At 41.7% G+C, this 20,629-nt stretch overlaps 1 annotated feature.

Annotated features, from left to right (window-relative positions):
• Positions 8–302: a silencer, noted in NCBI's record as "tiled region #15351; HepG2 Repressive non-DNase unmatched - State 12:CtcfO". NCBI's record gives its function as "represses a minimal TATA promoter and a strong SV40 promoter by Sharpr-MPRA in HepG2 cells {active_cell/tissue: HepG2}" and the evidence as "EXISTENCE:reporter gene assay evidence [ECO:0000049][PMID:27701403]".

Here is a 20,629-nt window from a genome sequence, read left to right as displayed (position 1 = left end):
AGACAGCTGGGGCATTCTCTTTGGGACCCTCCCCCTGAATTCAGGACAGGCAGCACTTCAAACTTTCATGAGAACTGCAGCAAATCTAGGCTTATGGTGCCATCTAGTGCCAAAAAGGAGGCAGTGATCTAGGGCTAAGGGAATCAACAGGCAGCCTGCACAAAACCTCTAAAAACACGTATGCTAGAAACACTAACCTAGACAGCAAAATAAACAATCCATCATTGGAAAGACCTAGACATATATGCATAAAAACAACAGCAAACAGGGAACCATGACCTCCCAAATGGATGAAGCAAGAAGTAACCAGTGATTAACCCCAATAAGATGGCAATATGTGAACTTTCAGATCAGAAATTCAAAATAGCAACCTTGAGAAAACTCAGCAAACTCCAAGATAACACAGAGGAACAATTTGAATTTTTTTTTTTTTTTTTTTGAGACAGAGTCTCACTCTGTTGCCCAGGCTGGAGTGCAGTGGTGCCGTCTCAGCTCACTGCAACCTCTGCCTCCTGGGTTCAATTGATTCTCTTGCCTCAGCCTCCTGAGTAGCTGGGACTACAGGCGCGTGCCACCACGCCTGGCTAATTTTTTTGTATTTTTAGTAGAGACGGGGTTTTGCCATGTTGATCAGGCTGGTCTCGATCTCCTGACCTCGTGATCCACCCACCTTGGCCTCCCAAAGTGCTGGGATTACAGACGTGAGCCACCGTGCCTGGCCCACAATTTAGAAATTTATCAGAGAAATTTAAGAAAGAGATTTAAATAATAAAAACAAATCAAACAGAAATCCTGGAACTGAGACACACATTTGCTGAACTGAAAAATGCACCGGAGTCTCAACAGCAGAATCGATCATGAAGAAGAAAAAAATAAATGAGCTTTAAAAATACGCAATCAGAGGAGAAAAAAAATTAAAAAGATAAAGAACAACTACAGGATCTAGAAAATAACCTCAAAAGAGCAAATCTAAGTGTCATTGGTTTTCAAGAGGGAGTTGAGAAAGAGCAAGACATAGAAAGCTCCCACAAAATAATAACAGAAAACTTTCCAAACTTAGTGAAAAATATAAATACCCATATACAGGAAGGCCAAAGATCAACAAACATATTCAACCCAAATAAGACTGCTCCAAGGCATATAATAATCAAACTTTCAAAAGTCATGGACAAAAAGTGGATCCAAAAAGTAGCAAGAGAAAGAAGCAAATAACATACACATAAAGGAGCTTCAATTTATCTGGCAACAGACTTCTCAGCAAAGACCATACCAGCCAGGAGAGAGTGAGATGACATACACAAAGTGCTGAAGGAGGAAAAAAAACCAAAAAACGAAAAAACCCCTGCCAACTGAGAATGTGATACCCAGCAAAACTATCCTTCAAACACGAAGGAAAGATAAAGACTTTTTTAGGCAAACAGAAGCTCAGGAAATTCATCACCACCAGACCTGTCTTACAAGAAATGCTAAAAGGAGTCCTTCCATCTGAGAGAAAAGGATCCTAACATGCAACAAGAAAATCATCTGAAGGTATTATGTTGGTGCAAAAGTAATCACAGTTTTTGCCATTAATTTTTTTTTTTTTTTTTTTTTGGATAGAGTCTCACTGTGTCACCCATGCTGGAGAGCAATCTCAGCTCACTGCAACCTCCGCCTCCTGGGTTCAAGCAATTATCCTGCCTCAGCCTCCCGAGTAGTTGGGATTACAGGTGACTGCCACTATGCCTGGTTAATTTTTGTATTTTTAGTAAAGATGGGGTTTCACCATGTTAGTCAGGCTGGTCTTGAACTCCTGACTTCAGGTGATCCGCCTGCCTCAGCCTCCCAAAGTGCTGGGATTACAGGTGTGAGCCACCATGCCCAGCCATTACTTTCAATGGCCAAAACTGCAATTAATTTTGCACAAAGCTAATATAAAATTCACTGGTAAAATTCAGTATGCAGACAAATTTAGAATATTGTAATACTGTAATTGTGGTATATAAATCACTCATAGCTCTAGTATGAAGACTGAAAGACAAATATTACACAAATAACTATAATAATTTATTAGGAGATAGGAAATATAAAAAGATATAAATTGAGACAACAAAAAGTCAGAATGTGGAGAGGAGAATTGGAGTTTGAGTTTAAAACTTTTCAAGTTTTTTTTCTGTATGTGTGTGTAACAGGGTCTCAGTTTATCACCCAGGCTGGAGTGTAGTGGCATGATCTCGGCTCACTGCAGCCTCGACCCCCTGGGCTCAAGTAATCCTCCCATCTCAGCCCCCTGAGTAGCTGGGACTACAAGCATACACCACCACACCCGGCTAATTTTTGTGTGTGTGTGTGTGTGGAGATGCCATGTTACCCAGGCTGGTCTTGAGCTCCTGAGCTTAAGTGATCTGCCCACCTTGCCCTCCCAAAGTACTGGGATTAAAGATTTGAGCCACTACACCTGGCCTTAAAGTACTTTTGTTTGTTTGTTTTCTTTTCTTTTTTCTTTAAACTTTTTCTTTTTATTTATTTATTTTTTTGATGGAGTCTTGCTCTGTTGCTAGGCTGGAGTGCAGTGGCGCGATCTCGGCTCACTGCAACCTCCAACTCCTGGGTTCAAGCGATTCTCCTGCCTCAGCCTCCTGAGTAGCTGGGACTACTGGTGCATGCCACCATGCGCAGCTAATTTTTGTATTTTTAGTAGAGACGGGGTTTCACCATGTTGGCCAGGCTGGTCTCGATCTCTTGACCTCGTGATCTGCCTTCCTCGGCCTCCCAAAGTGCTGGGATTACAGGCGTGAGCCCCCACGCCTGGCCTTCTTTTTGATTTTTCAGGTACATAGTAGGTATATATATTTATAGACATACATTAGATGCTCTGATATAGGCATGCAATATATAATATCTCAGCATGGAAAATGGGGTATCCATAGCTTCAAGCATTTATCCTTTATGTTACAAACTATCCAGTTAAACTCTCTTAGTTATTTTAAAATATACAATCAAGTTATTATTGACTATAGTCGTCCTATTGTGCTACCAAATAGTAGGTCTTATTTATTCTTTCTATTTTTTTAAACCCATTAACAATCCCCACCTCCCCATCTTTTCATTTTGATCAAAGTTAAGTTGTCATCTGTTCAAAGTAACTTGTTATATGTATTAGATGTTTTGGTAAGCCTCATGGTAACCCAACGTATAAATCTATAATAAATACATTAAAAATAAAAAGCAAAGAATTAAAACATACTACTAGAGAAAATCACCTAACCACAAAGGAAGACAGTAAGAACGAAAGACGGGAGTTACAAAACAACCAGAAAACAAGTAATAAAATGGCAGCAGCAAGTTCTTACCTATCAATAGTCACACTGAATGCAAAACTGGACTAAATTCTTCAATTAAAAGGCATAGAGTGGCTGAATAGATTTTTTTTAAGAAAACAAGACTATCTGCTACCTACAATAACTAATTTTGTCAGGCTTGGTGTGGCAAACCTGTAGTATTATCCACTTGTGACGCTGAGGTGGGATGATTGCTTGAGCCCAGGAGTTTGAGACCTGGGAAACATAGGAAGACTTCATTTCAAATAAAAAGAAAGAAAGAAAAAAAAAAGAGAGAGAGATGGAAAGAAGGAAGGAAGTAAAGAAGGAAGGGAGGGAGGAAGCAAGGAAGGAAGGGAGGAAGGAAGGAAGGAAGACTTTACCTGTAAAGACAAAATAGACTGGAAGTGAAGGCATGCAAACAGATATTACATGCAAATGAAAATCAAAAAGGAGCAAGAGTCAGCCTACTTATATCTGATAAAATAGACTTCAAGACTAAAACTATTTAAAAAGACAAAAAAGTCGTTATATAATGATAAAGGGGTCAATTTAGCAGGAGGATATAATAACTGTAAATACGTATGTACCCAACATTGGAGGAGCAAAATATATAAAGCAAATATTAATAGAACTAAAGGGAGAGATAGACTGCAATACAATGAGTAAGGGATTTCAACATCCCAGTTCCAGTAGTTAACAGATTATCGAGGCAGAAAATGAGCCAAGAAACACTGGAGTTAAACCAAACTCTAGACCAAATGTCCCTAACTGATGTTTAGAGAGCACTGTATCCAACTCTTGCAGAATACACTTTTTTTTTCATTAACACATGGAACATTCTGCAGGGCAGATCATATGTTGGATCACAAAACAAGTCTCAACAAATTCAAAAGTATAAAAATCATATCAAGGATCTTTTCTGACCAAAATGAATAAAACTAGAAGTCAATAACAAGAGGCACATTGGAAACTGCATAAGTGCATGGAAATTAAACAATATGCTCCTAAACAACCAACAGGTCAATGAAGAAATTAAGAATGACATTTTAAAATTTATTGAAAATAATGAAAATGGAAACACAACATACCAAAACCTATGGGATACAGCATAAACAGTGCTAAGAGAAAAGTTTATAGCAATAAATGCTTTGTCAAAAAAATAAAAAGACTTCAAATAAATAACCTAATGTTGAAACTCAAAGAACTGAAAAAGCAAGGACCAACCAAACCCAAAATAAGTAGAAGGAAAAAAAAAAGATTGGAGCCAAAATAAATGAAATTGAGACTAAAAAACTATTTGAAAGATTAAATAAACGAAAGATTGTTTTTTAAAAAACATAAACACAATTGACAAACCTTTAACTAGACTATGAAAAAGAGAGAAGGCCCAAATAAATAAAATCAGAAATGAAAAAAAGACATTACGACAGATATCACAGAAATACAAAGGATTATTAGAGACTATGATGAACAACTATACACCAACAAATTGCAAAATCTAGAAGAAATGAATAAATTACTGGACACATACAACTTAGCCAGATTGAACCATGAAGAAATAGAAAGCCTGAACAGACCAATAACAAGCAATAATATCAAGCAGAAACCGCTCAGGACTGGATGGCTTTATTGCTGAATTATACCAAACATTTAAAGAAAAACTAACATCGGTTCTCTCAAACTACTTCAAAAAATGTAAGAGGAGGAAATACTTCCAAACTCATTCTATAAGGCTAGTGTTACCTTGATACCAAAACCAGACAAGAACACAACAATAAAATAAAACTACAAGCCAATATCCCTAATGAACATACGTGCAAAAATTCTCAATAAAATACACCAAATTCAATAACACATTATAAAGATCATTCACCATGATTAAGTGGTATTCATCCCTGACATGCAAGGGTGGTTCAACATATGAATTGACCACAAATCAATAAATGTTATATATCACATTTATGACATAACAGAACCAAGGACGAAAACCATATGATCATTTTAGTAGATTCTGGAAAAGTATTTGACAAAATCCAACGTGCCTCCATGATAAAACTCTCAACAAATTTGGTATAGAAGGAACATACTGCAAAACAACAAAGGCCATAAAACACAAACCCACAGCTAATGTCACACTGAACAGGGAAAAATTGAAAGCCTTTCCTCTAAGATCTGGAACAACACAAGGATGCCCACTTTCACCATTTTTATTCTGAGCAATTAGGCAAGAGGAAGAAATAAAGGGCATCCAAATTGGAAAGGAAGAAGTGAAATTATCCTTGTTAGCAGACAACATGATCTAGTATTTAGAGAAACCTAAAGATGCCACCAAAAAACTGTTAGAATTGATAAATGAATTCAGAAAAGTTTCAGGACACAAAATCAACATAGAAAAATCAGTAACACTTTTATACACTGATGGCAAATAATCAGAAAAATAAATCAAGAAAGCAATCCCATTTACAATACCTACAAAATAAATAAGATATCTAGGAATAAATTTAACCAAAGAGGTGAAAGAGCTCTACAAAGAAATCTGTACAACACTCATAAAAGAAATTGAAGAGTTATTTCAAAAACATTAAAAAATCCCATGCTCATGGATTGAAAGAAATAATATTGTTAAAATGTCCATGTTGGCCAGGCACGGTGGCTCATGCCTGTAATCCCAGCACTTTGGGAGGCTGAGGCAGGCGGATCATGAGGTCAGGAGATTGAGACCATCCTGGCTAACATGGTGAAACCCCACCTCTACTAACAAAAATACAAAAAATTAGTCGGGCGTGGTGGTGAGTGCCTGTAGTCCCAGCTACTCAGGAGGCTGAGGCAGGAGAATGGTGGGAACCCAGGAGGCAGAGCTTGCAGTGAACTGAGATCACACCACTGCACTCCAGCCTGGGCAACAGAGCAAGACTCTGTCTCAAAAAAAAAAAAAAAAAAGTCCATGTTACCTAATCTAAAGATTCAGTGCAATCCCTATCAAAATACCGATGACATTCTTTACACAAATATTAAAAAAAATCCTAAAATTTGTATAGAACCACAAAAGACCCCACATAGCCAAAGGAATCCTGAACAAGAAACAAAACTGGAGGCATCACACTACCTGACTTTAAAATATACTACAAAGCCATACTAACCAAAACAACATAGTACTGGCATAAAAGCAGACACATAGACCAGTGGAACAGAAAAGAGAACCCAGAAATAAATCCACACATCTTCAGCAAACTCATTTTTGACAAAGGCACCAAGAACTTATTTGGAGAAAGAACAGTATCTTCAATAAATGGTGCTGGGAAAACTGGATAATCATATGCATAACAATGAAGCTAGACCCCTATTTCTCACCATATACAAGAATCAAATCAAAATGGATTAAATACTTAAATGTAAAACCTGAAAGTACTAGAAAAAACATTGAGAAAATGCTTTAGGACATTGGTCTGAGCAAAGATTTTGGGGTAAGACCTCAAAAACACAGGCAACAAAAGCAAAAATGACAAACAGGATTATATCAAGCTAAAATGCTTCTGCATAGCAAGAGGAACATCAACAGAGTGAAGAGACAACCTACAGAACGGGAGAAAATAACTGTAAACTATTCATCATACAAGGGGTTAATAACTAAAATATATAAGGAACTCAAACAACTCAAAAACAAAAAAACCCAAATAATCAAATTTTAAAAAGGGCAAATGATCTGAGTAGACATTTCTCAAAAGAAGACATACAAATTGCCAATAGGTATATGAGAAAATATTCAACATTACTAATCAGGAAAATGTAAATCAAAACCACAATGAGATATCATCTCACCCCAGTTAGAATGACTATTGTCAAAAAGACAAAAGATAAGTGTTGATGAGGATGTGGAGAAAGGGGGACTCTTATACATTGTTGCTGGGAATGTAAATTAGTACAGTCATTATGGAAAATAGGATGGAGGTTCTAAAAACTAAAAATAGACCTACCATATGATCCAGCAATCCAACTGCTGGGTAAATATCCAAAAGAAAGGAAATCACTATATTGAAGAGATATCTGCACTTCCATGTTTATTGCAGCACTATTCACAATAACCAAGATACGGGATCAACCAAAGTGTCCATCAGTGGATGAATGGATTTTAAAAAATGTGGTATATATGTACAGTGGAATACTATTCAGCCATAAAAATGAGTGAAATTCTGTCATTTGCAGTAACATGGATAGACTGGAGGACATTAAGTGCAATAAGCCAGGCACAGAAAGACAAATATTGCATGTTCTCACTCACATGTGGGAGCTGTAAAAAGTTGATCTCATGGAGGTAGAGAGTAGAATGGTGGTTACCAGAGGCTGAGAAGGTAGAGGGTAGAGGAGGATGAAAAGAGGTTGGTTAATAGGTACAAAAATAGTTAGAAGAGCCAGGCACAGTGGCTCACACCTGTGATCCCATCACTTTGGGGGGCCAAGGCGGGCGGATCACTTGAGATCAGGAGTTGAGACCAGCCTGGCCAACATGGTGAAACCCTGTCTCTACTAAAAATACAAAAATATTAGCCGGGTGTGGTGGTGGGTGCCTGTAATACCAGCTACTCGGGAGGATGAGGCAAGAAAATCGCTTGTACCCGGGAGGTGCGGAGGTTGCAGTGAGCCAAGATTGTACCATTGCACTCTAGCCTGGACAAAAAAAGTGAGACTCCGTCTTAAAAAAAAAAAAAGTTAGAAGAAATAACTTCTAATATTCGGTAATACAATAGGGTGACTACAGATGACAATAATTTATTGTATATTTCAAAATAGCCAGAAGAAAAGATTTGGAATGTTCCCAATACAAAGAAATAATAAATATTTGAGGTGATGGATATCCCAATTACCCTGATTTGATCATTACATGTTGTATGCATATATCAAAATACCACATGTGCTCCAGAAATGTGTACAATCATTATATATCAATTTTTAAACATTATGTTCCTAGAAATAAGCTCTAGTTTCTCATAAAATTAAAAAAAAATTTGTGGAATGTGGTACAAATTTAATATTGAATACCTTCTTTTTATATTTTATTTTTTCATTTAATTAATTAATGTAAAAAATACAAAAAAAATTTTTCACCCATTTAGACACTCTCAACTCCCATTTGGTTTATCCTATAGAAAATATAATCTTTTATATGAAAGCATGTCCTCAATAAATTTGGGAGTGAATGGATCTATCCCACTCCACTTGTTCCTCCTCCAGACATCTGTGTTTTCCAGCCCCTGTACCTTATCCCATTGTAGCTCCTTAAAGCCTCAACAACCTTCAAGGCCCTGCTCACATCTCTTAGTCATTCAGATTTATCAGCCGGAGTCATCTCTCCAACATTCTTTTTAATATTATTAACCATTTATTGGCTGGGCGTGGTGGCTCACGCCTGTAATCCCAGCACTTTGGGAGGCCAAGGCGGGTGGATCACCTGAGGTCAGGAGTTCAAGACTAGTCTCACCAACATGGTAAAACCCCGTCTCTACTGAAAATACAAAAATTAGCTGGGCATGGTGGTGCGTGCCTGTAATCCCAGCTACTGGGGAGGCGGAGGCAAGAGAATTGCTTGAACCCGGGAGGTGGAGGTTGCAGTGAGCTGAGATCACACCATTGCACTCTAGCCTGAGCAACAAGAGCAAAACTCTGTCTCAAAATAATAATAATAATAATAATAGTAACTATTTATTTATTTATTTACTTACTTACTTACTTACTTACTTAGATAAAGTCTCGCTCTGTCGCCCAGGCTGGAGTGCAGTAGTGCAATCTCAGCTCACGGTGACCTCCACCTCCCAGGTTCAAGCGATTCTGTGCCTCAGCTTCCCAAGTAGCTGGGATCATAGGTGCACGCCCCCAAATCCAGCTAATTTTTGTATTTTTAGTACAGATGGGTTTTTGTCATGTTGGCCAGGTTGGTCTCAAACTCTTGGCCTCAAGTGATCTGTCTGCCTCAACCTCCCAAAGTGCTGGGATTACAGGCATGAGCTAAGGCGTCTGGCCTCCAACATTTTTTCTAGCCTCCCCTGAGCCCCTGCTGTAGCCCTGAGCCCAGCCCTAATCTGTATTGTAGCAGCAACACTTGAGTATGTGTCCATCTCCTCAAAGGAATTATGAACCTGTGGAAGAAAGGGGCCTTTATATCTCTCTAGAGAATTGTATAGAGGCTCAGGATGTGTTTACTGAAATAGAATTAGAGTATAAGGTGGCTCTGTGGCACAAACTTTAAGAACAGTGGGGAAGACAAGTTTCAGATCAGAATCATATGTCTTTTGTTTTTCCTGCTGGTGAAATTTTTGCTAAGGCAATGCTGATAAGAATAATATATTTTTTAAAAAGAATGGTAATAACAGTCTCAATACATACTTCCTTTCTAAGATATATAAGGTGAGGCAAGGCTAGGTATGGTGGCTCACACCTATAATCCCAGCATTTTGGGAGGCTGAGGTGGGCATATGACTTGAGCCCAGACATTCAAGACAAGCCTGGGCAACACGGCGGAACCCTATCTCTACAAAAAATACAAAAATTAGCCAGGCATGGTGGCACACATCTGTAGTCTCAGCTACTCAGGAGGGTGAGGTGGGAGGATCACCTGAGCCTGGGAGGGTGAGGCTGCAGTGAGCCATGATTGTGCTACTGCACTCCAGCCTGGGCAATAGACTGAGACTTTGTCTCAAAAAAAAAAAAAAGCGAGTTATAAAAAAAGAGAACACTTCAAAAATGTATTATTTTGTATCCCTATTTGTGTTAATTTAATGTGTCGACATGGAGGGTGTTTTTAGATGAGATTAACATTTAAGCCAGGCTCAGTGGCTCAGGCCTGTAATCCCAGCACTTTGGGAGTCCAAGGCAAGTGGATCACTTGTGGTCAGGAGTTCGAGACCAGCCTGATCAACATGGTGAAACCCTGTCTCTACAAAAATACAAAAAAATTAGCTGGGTGTGGTGGCACACGCCTGTAATCCCAGCTACTCAGGAGGCTGAGACAGGAGAATCACTTGAACCCAGGAGGCAGCGGTTGTAGTGAGCCGAGATTGTGCCATTGCAATCCAGCCTGGGTGACAGAGCGAGATTTCATCTCAAAAAACAAAAACAAAAACAGAAACAAAACAAAACAACAACATTTAAATTGGTGTATTTTGACTAAAGCAGATTGACCTCCAAAATGTGGGTGGGCCTCACCCAATCAGTTGAAGGACTGAATAGAACAAACAGATAAGCCTCCTCAAGCAAGAGGGGGTTTTCCTGCAGACTACTTTTGCTTTTTTGTTTGTTTGTTTATTTATTTATTTTGTGAGACAGGGTCTTGCTCTGTTGCCCAGGCTGGAGTGCAGTGGGATAATTATAGCTCACTGCAGCCTCAATCTCCCAGGCTTAAGTGATCCTCTCACCTCAGCCTCCCAAGTAGCTGGGACTACAGGTGTGCACCACCACATCTGGCTAATTTTTAAATTATTGGTAGAGGCAGGGCCTCCCTGTGTTACTCAGGCTGGTCTTCAACTTCTGGGCTGAAGCAAACCTCCCACCCCAGCCTCCAAAAGTGCTGGGATTACAGATGTGAGCTACTGTGCCCAGCCCAGACTGCCTTTGGACTTCATCTGCCAAAGGGTCTCCTCGGTCTCCACTTGCCAACTCACACTGCAAATTTTGGACTTGTCAGACCCCATGATCATGTAAGCCAATTCCTCATACAAGAATGTAAGCCAATTCCTCATACATTCTTTAAATCTCTTTCTATATCTATTTATCTACATAGCCTATTGGCTCTGCTTCTCTGTAGAGCTCTGACTAATACAACATTATGTATGAATGTGCATTCAAAGCCAATCTGGAAGATTGGTTGTAATTTTAGAAATGCTTAGTATGCCACCCTAGCATGCCACCCACCACCTATAAATCCTGTAGGCTAATTTATCCCAGCCCCTTTGTGGCACAACAGAATGAAGGCTGAAATGGCAGGATGGTGTGTTACTTCATTTCCACAAGGCAAAAAGAAACAAAATAAACACAAGATTATTGATGTGTCCCCATGTGCATACTAAATGTTCATACATAATCAGGTTACTGAATAATACATTCTTGAAAGCATTCAGTTCTTCTTTAATCACTCTGTATTGCTAAATATTTTTTAAAAGCCACATGTGGCTGGGCACAATGGCTCACGCCTGTAATTCCAATGCTTTGGGAGGCTGAGGTGGGCAGATCACCTGAGGTCAGGAGTTCAAGACCAGCCTAGACAATATGATGAAACCCCGTCTCTACTAAAAGTACAAAAATTAGCTGGGTGGTGGGTGCCTGTAATCCCAGCTACTCGGGAGGTTGAGGCAGGAGAATTGCTTGAATCCAGGTGGCAGAGGTTTTAGTGAGCCAGGATCACACCACTGCATTCCAGCCTGGGTGACAGAGCAAGACTCTGTCTTAAAAAAAAAAAAAAAGACATGTGCACTGCAGTATGGACATATGAATATGGTATAATATTTGCGTAAAAAAAGATAGGGGAGGCTGGGCATGGTGGTTCATGCCTGTAATCCCAGCACTTTGGGAGGCGGAGGTGGGCAGATCACCTGAGGTCAGGTGTTTGAGACCAGCCTGGCTAACATGGTGAAACCCTGTCTCTACTGAAAGAAAAAAAAAAGAAAGAAATACAAAAAATTAGCCAGGGATGGTGGTGGGTTCCTGTAATCCCAGCTACTCGGGAGGCTGAGGCAGGAGAATCACTTGAACTCAGGAGGCGGAGGTTGCAGTGACCCGAGATTGTACCATTGCACTCCAGCCTGGGTGACAAGAGTGAAACTCCATCTCAAAAAAAAAAAAGAAAAAGAAAAAAGATAGGGGAAAATATATTGATATTTGCTTGCATATCTATGAAGTTTCTCTGGAAATTTACAAAAGAAACTGATGACATTGGTCGTCTTCAGGGAGGGGGACACTTGAATGGTAGGGGAAACAGGGTGGATATTCTATTTTTTTTCCATCTATCCTTGTGTAACTTTTGCATTTTGAATGATTTTTATATTTTGAACCACAGTATAGTATCTATTCAAAAAGAAATTTCAAAGGAAAACAAATAATTTTTGCCTTTATTTCCTCTAAACTTTTTGGGGGCTGGGCACTTTAACTTAGGATACAACAAATAAGTCCCTGAAGAAAAATATTCAAGAAGTATTACCTAGAGCCTACTGGGTACTGGGAACACAGCAGTGAACAAAACAAAGACAATCCCTGCTCACATGAAATTTAAATTCTAGCGTGGGAAGACAGTAAAGAAAAAACAAGTAATAATAAATAGGTAAAATATATTGTAAGTTAGTGTTAAAAGCTATAAATGAAAATAATTGAGTGAGATTTAATAATTAATTTAATGTGCCAATATGGAAGGTGTTTTTAGATGGGATTAACATTTAAATTTGTGAATTTTGAGTAAAGTAGATTGACCTCCAAAATGTAAGTGGGCCTCATCCAATCAGTTGAAGGCCTGAATAAAACAAAAAGATTTGAACAAAGATGGAACAAAAAGGGGGTTTGAGATTGCTAATGGGGATTTGGGAGTGATAAAGGAGTAAAATTTTTTTTTTTTTTTGAGACGGAGTCTTGCTCTGTTGCCCAGGCTGGAGTGCAGTGGTGCCATCTCGGCTCACTGCAAGCTCTGCCTCCCGGATTCACACCATTCTCCTGCCTCAGCCTCCCGAGTAGCTGGGAATACAGGCACCCACCACTACGCCCGGCTAATTTTTTGCATATTTAATAGAGACGGGGTTTCACCGTGTTAGCCAGGATGGTCTCCATCTCCTGACCTCGTGATCCACCCGCCTCGGCCTCCCAAAGTGCTGGGATTACAGGCGTGAGCCAGGGCGCCTGGCCAGGAGTAAAATTTTAACTAGATCATTAGAGCAGGCCTCAATGAGAAGGTGACATTTGAACCAACACTTTTGTGAAATTGAAGGTGAGTCTACTCTTTTTCTATGATAATGTTTCACCATTCTGCTTCGTTATATGAAATTATTGGATCTTACTGATACAGAACGGCTGGGCTCCTGGCTAAACCTCACCCTTAGGCCTGGAACTGTGGCCCTAAGTGAAAACAGCTGACCCAGTTTTTCCAACCAAATATTGATTTTTTGGCCTGCCACTCCACCTATCTTGTGCCCGTAAAAAGACTTCAGCTGGCAGAGCATTGTAAGTGGTGAGCAGACAAGTGACTGATCGTCAGGGATACAAGTGGCTGAGCACTGGGGACTGCGGATAGACACTGCAAACTTCAGACAGTGCGGCTTCAGGGAAAGATCACCTCTTTCCTGCACCATCCCCTTTCCAACTCCCCATTCCAAGGAGAGCCACATCCATCGCCCAGTAAAATCCTCCGCATACACTACCCTTCAATACATTCGTGTGACCTGATTCTTCCTGGATGCTGGACAAGAACCCGGGTGCCAAGAGGGCAAGAGCTCGAATGCTGCTGCGGGGCCCGCACAGAGCCTGCTCCCGCCAGAGAGGAGTGACCGGCCAGTTCCAGCCTTCATTCCCTCCTGTTCCCTCACTCACTTGCTTGCACACTCTCTCTTGTGAGGAGTGGCCAGCCGCAGGCTGAGCGAAATGAGCCACTCCAGTTCCCGCCCACGAAGGGGGTCAAGGTCAAGGGAACAATCCTGTCTCACTACTTACTCCACATTGTTTTTCTAAACTATTTGTGGAAATACCAGGAATATCAAATAGGTTGTAAAAGAGTTTATAGGTAATTGTTGAGTGCAATGTTTTAAAATTTAATGTAGCAAGGAAGTTCCCAGAATCATCAATTTCTTTGTGGTGGGCCTTTACTTTCAGTGGAACTGGTATCATTTAAGGGCACACCAGAACATTGAAAATTCCTCAATCTCTCTTTCTAATCTACTTTCAGTGGCCCAAATTTCTTTAACAGAGGTTAATGCTTTTCAATCCACAATAAGAGACAAGAAAAAATGTAAAAACTCCTTTCAAATGTACTTCCTGTATAAGAGAGTAGCTCTGGCCAAGCATGGTGGCTCATGCCTGCAGTCCCAGTGCTTTAGGAGGCTGAAGTGGGAGGACTGCTTGAGGCCAAGGGTTCAAGACCAGCCCGGGCAACATAGTGAGACCTTGTCTCTACGGAAAAAAAATAAAAAATAAAAAAATGTAGCTGGGTCTGATGGCACACGCCTGTAGTTGTAGCTACTCAGGAGGCAAAGGAGGGAGGATTGCTTGAGCCCAGGAGGTTGAGGCTGCAGTGAGCTGTGATCGAGCCACTGTACTCCAGCCTGGGTGACAGAGTGAGGCCTTGTCTCAAAAAAAAAAAAAAAAAAAAAAAGAGAGAGCGAGAGAGTGGGGGAGTGGCTCTATCGTCAAATTGTCTGAAACCAGATTCATTCTTTCTAGCTACGTCAACCTGGTCATTTTCTTTTTTTTTCTTTTCTTTTTTTTTTGAAATGGAGTCTCGCTCTTGTCGTCCAGGCTGGAGTGCAGTGGTGCAATCTCGGCTCACTGCAACCTCCACCTCCCGAGTTCAAGCAATTCTCCTGCCTCTGCGTCCCGAGTAGCTGGGATCACAGGCCTGCGCCACCACGCCTGGCTAATTTTTGTATTTTTAGTAGAGATGAGGTTTCACCATGTTGGCTAGGCTACTCTTGAACTCCTGGCCTCTGGTGACTGGCCCGCTTCAGCCTCCCAAAGTGCTGGGATTACAGGCGTGAGCCACCACACCTGGCCTCTTTTTCTTTTCTTTCTTTCTTTTTTTCTTTAGAGATGAGGTCTCATTCTGTCATGAGACCAGCCTCCAGACTCCCGGGCTAGAGTGCAGTGGCATGATCATAACTCATTGCAGCCTTGAACTCCTGGGTTCAAGTGATCCTCCTGCCTTAACCTCTCAAATAGCTGGGACTACAGGTGGGCATCGCCATGCCCAGTGGAAGTGTATTTCTTTTTTTATAAAACAGAAGATTGGAAATAATCTAAAAGTCCAGTGAGAGAGGACTGGTTAGATAAATTATGACACATTCATAAAATGGACGCTGAGCCTCTGTAAAAGGAATGAGCAAGCTCTTATGCACTGATATGCACAATCTCCAAAATAATTTTTAAATAAAATAAACCAGAACAAGTTACATAGCTGTGTGAATAGCATACTACCATTTGTTTAAAATAAAAAAGAAGAAAAGAGAAGAAGGATTTATATACATACTTGCTTATAAGTACAATAATATCTCTGGAAGGATTTATAAACAAACTACTAACATTCACTGCCTCCAGTGAGGTTTTTAGGGAGCTGGAAATAGAGGTGGAAGTGACTTTTGCTGCATATATCCTTTTGAACCTTTTAAATTTTGAACCATACAAATGCATTACCTATTTAAAAATAGGACAAAACTTTAGAAAAATGTAGCCAGGGTAAAGTCATGATGAAAGGAGGCAGAGATAGGAGAAAGGAAACAGAAAATCAACTGTTGTAGAAATTTGGCATTATTATTGATATCTTGGGAGAAATATGAGCCAAAAAAGTGTATATGAATGTGTGGGTGTGTAGGTCTGAAAAAATTTGCAAATACAAGAGAATCACCTTTCGTTTACCATTATGGGCCTTACACTAGAGATGTGTTTGGACTGGCAGGTGAGTGTGGCCTGGAGTCAGGAAGAAGAAGCCACCCCTCTGTGTTTCAGGCATCACAGAGCACATGGAACTCCTAGAGGGATTTAGGAAAAGGAGAGACTGTGAGAACTAATCTTGGCAGACCAGGTGGAAGAAGGTTTATTTCTAAAAGATGTGTGTAAAAAGGTTGGAGTCAGGAGTAGGGAGGGAAAACAAATTAGAAAAAGAACAGAAAGAAGAAATATTAAAACTCTAGAAAACTGATTCTGTGCCAGGTAAAGTACTTACCGTGGGATCTGTGGGTTTTGCCAACATCCAGGTCCCTTTCTGATAACAGCACTCTAATTTTCCTTAAGCACCCCTTTTCTTCATCTGCATCAGGGTTTTGCAACCTTGACACTATTAACATTTGGGATCAGGCAATTCTTTGTTGTGGGGGACTGTCATGTGCTTTGTAGGATAAATGGCAGCACCCCTGGCCTCTACCCATGAAATGCTGGTAACATCCCTATCCCCCAGTTTTATGACAACTAAGAATTACTCTAGATATTGCCAAATGTCTCCTAAGGTTCAAAATCACCCCCCTTCCTCTTGAAAACTACTGTTCTATATGGTTTATGCCAAACCAATACAAGTCTCCAGGTTTAAGAAAGGGCACATAACTCAGACCTGGACAACCAGAGCATTTGCACCCTCTGACTACAGTGTAGTTCAAAGATGGGCATCAGCTCAAGTTGGCCCACAGTCAATCCCATAATGGTAATCAGGAAAGACATGCCTTTCTAACAGGGTTGGTGAGAGAATAAGCACTGTGCCTCAAGTGCACCCAAGTAGGCAAGATGAAGCTGCTGGAATAATGCCCCTCCCCCACCAATTCTGAGCCCCTGGATCCAGCCATGCCTGAAGTCAGCCTGTGGTGGGAAGAATTCTAAGATGGCCCTCCCAAGATTCTCAGTTCCTGGTTTACACACACCTTCTAGCCGTTATTCAAACACTAAAACTCTAAGTGCTGCTGTGGAGAGATTTTACTGATGCTATTGATATGAACAGGAGGCAGGGAAATACGAGGTAGAAAAGGGTGGGGTCCCTGGTGAGGGTTCCACCCTCAAGCCTGGACCTGAGGCCCTAAATGAGAACTTCATATCTCTGTTTTCCTGCCCAAATGTTGCCCCCCACACCCCCATCATATGCCCATAAAAACTCCAAGCTCCACTGGCAGAGGAGCAGAGCAGCACGGCAGAGAAGGACAAGGACAGAAGCATCTGAACGTGGAGAGAAGAAGAAGCAGCTGGACATTGGAGACTCTGGTTGGAGAGGAGTTTGGATGGGATGGTGGAGAGAAGTTCGGGTGGGACGGTGGAGAGGAGTTCCGCCATTAGGGAAGACCACCTTCCCACTCCATCCCCTTCCCAGCTCCCATCCTGCTGAGAGCTACCTCCACTGCTCAGTAAAATCTCTACATTTGCCATCCTTCAAGTCTGGGTGACCTCATTCCTCTTGGGCATGGGACAAGAATTTGGGATGCACTGGGTGCAGGATCCCAAAAAGGCTGTCACACCGGCCCTTTGCCCTTGCTGGCAGAGGGCAGCCACCCCACACAATGAGACAAAAGGCCCACTGAGCTGGTAACATGCCTTCTGGGGCTCAGGGGTATAACAGGCACCCCCCTCACCAGGACAGCAGAGCTAAAAGAGCATTGTAACACTCTTGGGATGCTGCCGCAGGGCCCACACAGGGCTTGCTCCCATGGGAGAGAAGCTGCTGGAGGTTCCAGCATTCTTTTGCTCTGGTTCCCGTACCCATCCTGCTCATGTGCTCCCTTCCATAAAGGGTTGAGCGTGACAGCAGAGTAAATTAGCCACCCCTGTTGCAAGTCCTGCAAAGGGGTCAAGGAAACTCTCCAGTTTCATTATGAAGGCCTAAAATCAGTTGTGGGTAGGATTGGGAGATGATCTGGGTGCCTCATCATCTGAGGTGAGAAGAGGAAGTCAGAGAGAGACGCTCTAATTAATCTGGAAGAAAACAAACATTCATGCTGTGATCTGCCTGTGGCAGGGACATGGGAAGGAACCATGGGTAACCTCTAGGAACTGAGAGCAGCACAGCTGGGGAGGAAATGGGACTTCAGTCCTACAACTGCGAGCAACTGAATGCTGCCAACAAGAAGAATGGGGTTGAAAGCAGATTATCCACAGAGCCTCCAGATGAGAACTCAGCCCAGCTGACCCCAAGATTTCAGTCTTGAACTGTGAGACAATACGTGGGTGGTGGTGTGAGCTGCTAAATTGGTGCTACGGCAATTTGGTATGCAGCAATAGAGAACAAACACACAGACCTACCTCTAGGTTTTCCAGTTCTGTGAGCCTGTGCATTCCATTTTTTACTTAACCTGGTTTGTGTTTTGTGTTTAGGTCACTTGTTTCCAAAATATTCCTGACTGACACAGCATTGTGCAAGCATTATCTCATGTCTGCCTCCTGGCAACCCCATGGGGTAATTTTTCTCCTGTGTTTTTTTTAAGATAAAATTTACAGCGAGATGCACAAATCAATACAATGATCCAATTCAATAAGGCTATGAGGTAATGTTTTGCTTAGGACATTTCCAGTTGCAAACAACAGGAACCTATTTGAAGTGGCTTAATGGGGGGACGGGTGGGAAAATTATTGTAAAGATATAGATATATCTCATGGAATTTGCAGTGGAGAGTGCAGCTGGGCCTGAGGAGGACATGCCATGAGCAGCCAGCTGGTGTTGATGCCACCTTTGACCTGCATGGCATCTACCTGCATACATTTCGCTAGAAAGCAATTCACTAGAATCATTTACTCATTGAATGGCTTATGTCTGCAGGGAACTGTGATAGATAACTAGGAATCAGAAATAAAAGACATTGTTCCTTCCAACCAAACTTGTGGCTGGAGTTGCCCCCAAAGCAGTGGCAGGGAAGTTCCCACAAGAGAGAGCCCCAAATGGTCTTGAGATGGGGCTGGATGGGATTCTAGAGAAAGAAGCACTAAACACAAGGATGATCAGTCCAAAGTGTTTATTAGTGGGACAGACTTACAGAGTGGGCTGCCATGTATCCCCCAGTGGTCAAGAGAGAAAGCAATGTTCTACCTAGGTGTGTCCACCATGACGGGGTCAGAATGTGGAGTTTACATGAGGGTTTAAAGAATTTGGCTCAGGTCAGTGTCTTGAGCAACAACCTAAACCAAACTAGGCAACTTCATCAGTGCCTGGGAATGTTCAAGGCCTTGGCTTGGGTTCAAGCCTGCAGGGAAAACATGCAGCTGGCTGGGTCGCAGAGAGGCCAAAGGCACTCTCAGGCAGGCTGAGAAAGAAAGCGGGTAGGGAGACGCTGGAGGACCCTACATATCCTGTCCTCAACAAGCCACTAATCTACAGAGAAGGGTGGATAAGTAAAACAATTATAGACAACAGTGATCGGCCTGGCTCAGTGGCTCACGCCTATAATCCCAGCACTTTGGGAGGCCAAGGCAGGCGATTGCCTGAGGTCGGGAGTTCAAGACCAGCCTGGCCAATATGGTAAAACCCCGTCTCTACTAAAAATACAAAAATTAGCTAGGCATGGTGGCAGGCACCTGTAATCCCAGCTACTTGGGAGGCTGAGGCAGGAGAATCGCTTGAACCCAGGAAGAGGAGGTTTCAGTGAGCCAAGATCGTGCCACTGCACTCCAGGCTGTATGACAAGAGCGAGATTTCCTCTCAAAAAAAAAAAAAAAAAACTGATTATAAGTACTAAAGTAGACCTATAGTAGACTGGGTACCAGGGAGGACTTCCTGGAGGTGATACCCATGCTGAGTGGAAGTTGGCCAGGCAATGAAATGAAAGCCAAGGGCACTTCAAAAGTGTGGAAAGTGCTGGGAAGGGTTGCTTCTCAATGCAGACTGCACTGAAGAGCCTGTGTTGGGAAGAAAGTAAATTTGTAAAGGGAGTCAGGGGACAGATGCTAACTGGCTTTGCACGTTGCATCCAGGAATACAGATTTAATCCAGAGGGAATGAGGAGCCATGGAAGATTTTTAAGCAGGAGAGTGACATCATCTGATTGAGTTGTGTTGTTTTTGTCGTTGGTGGAGGCAGTGTGGAGAACGGTTTGGAGAGGTTCCAGGATTAACTCCTGTAGGCCTGGAATTGGCCTGAGATGAGCCACTGAAGTGAAACACGTACCTGCCAGCACTGATCTCTGATCCCTGGTCAAGACATGAAACCTTCTGACTAATAATGTTACTTTGTAATCATGGATTCAAGGCAAGTTTCAGGACAGTTTGCTGAAAATTGTGAGACTTTAATGATAACTGTGAGATTGGTAATTTGCACTTGGTCTCAGTGAGACCCCTGGGGAGCTCTGCCACTGGGGCAGTTACATAGCAAGAATATACCTATGTGACCAGCAGGGGATAAGAAATTCAGCCTGTCCTCCCTTTCGGACACCCTGGTTGCAAGGTGTTCAGTGCACACGTTAGTGATTCCTGATCTAAAAGAGAAAGTGCATCCATTCAGCCTTGCAGAAAGAGTAGGATTGGAGCCTGCATCTGGCCTCTCCAGATCCTTTGCTGTGATGCAGTCTTTGGCTACTTCCTATTCATTGCCTTACTTTATGCTGTTGTGTGATTGTATCCTTTCCCTGCAAGATTGTCATTTTGGGTCCTATGAGTCTTCTTTAAGAATCAAACCCTGTCTAACTGCCGCC

This window comes from Homo sapiens, chromosome 12 (genome assembly GCF_000001405.40).
Source record: "Homo sapiens chromosome 12, GRCh38.p14 Primary Assembly".
Lineage (NCBI taxonomy): Eukaryota > Metazoa > Chordata > Mammalia > Primates > Hominidae > Homo > Homo sapiens.
Note: the sequence above shows the minus strand (reverse complement) of the source record. Positions and strands in the feature narration are given on the sequence as shown.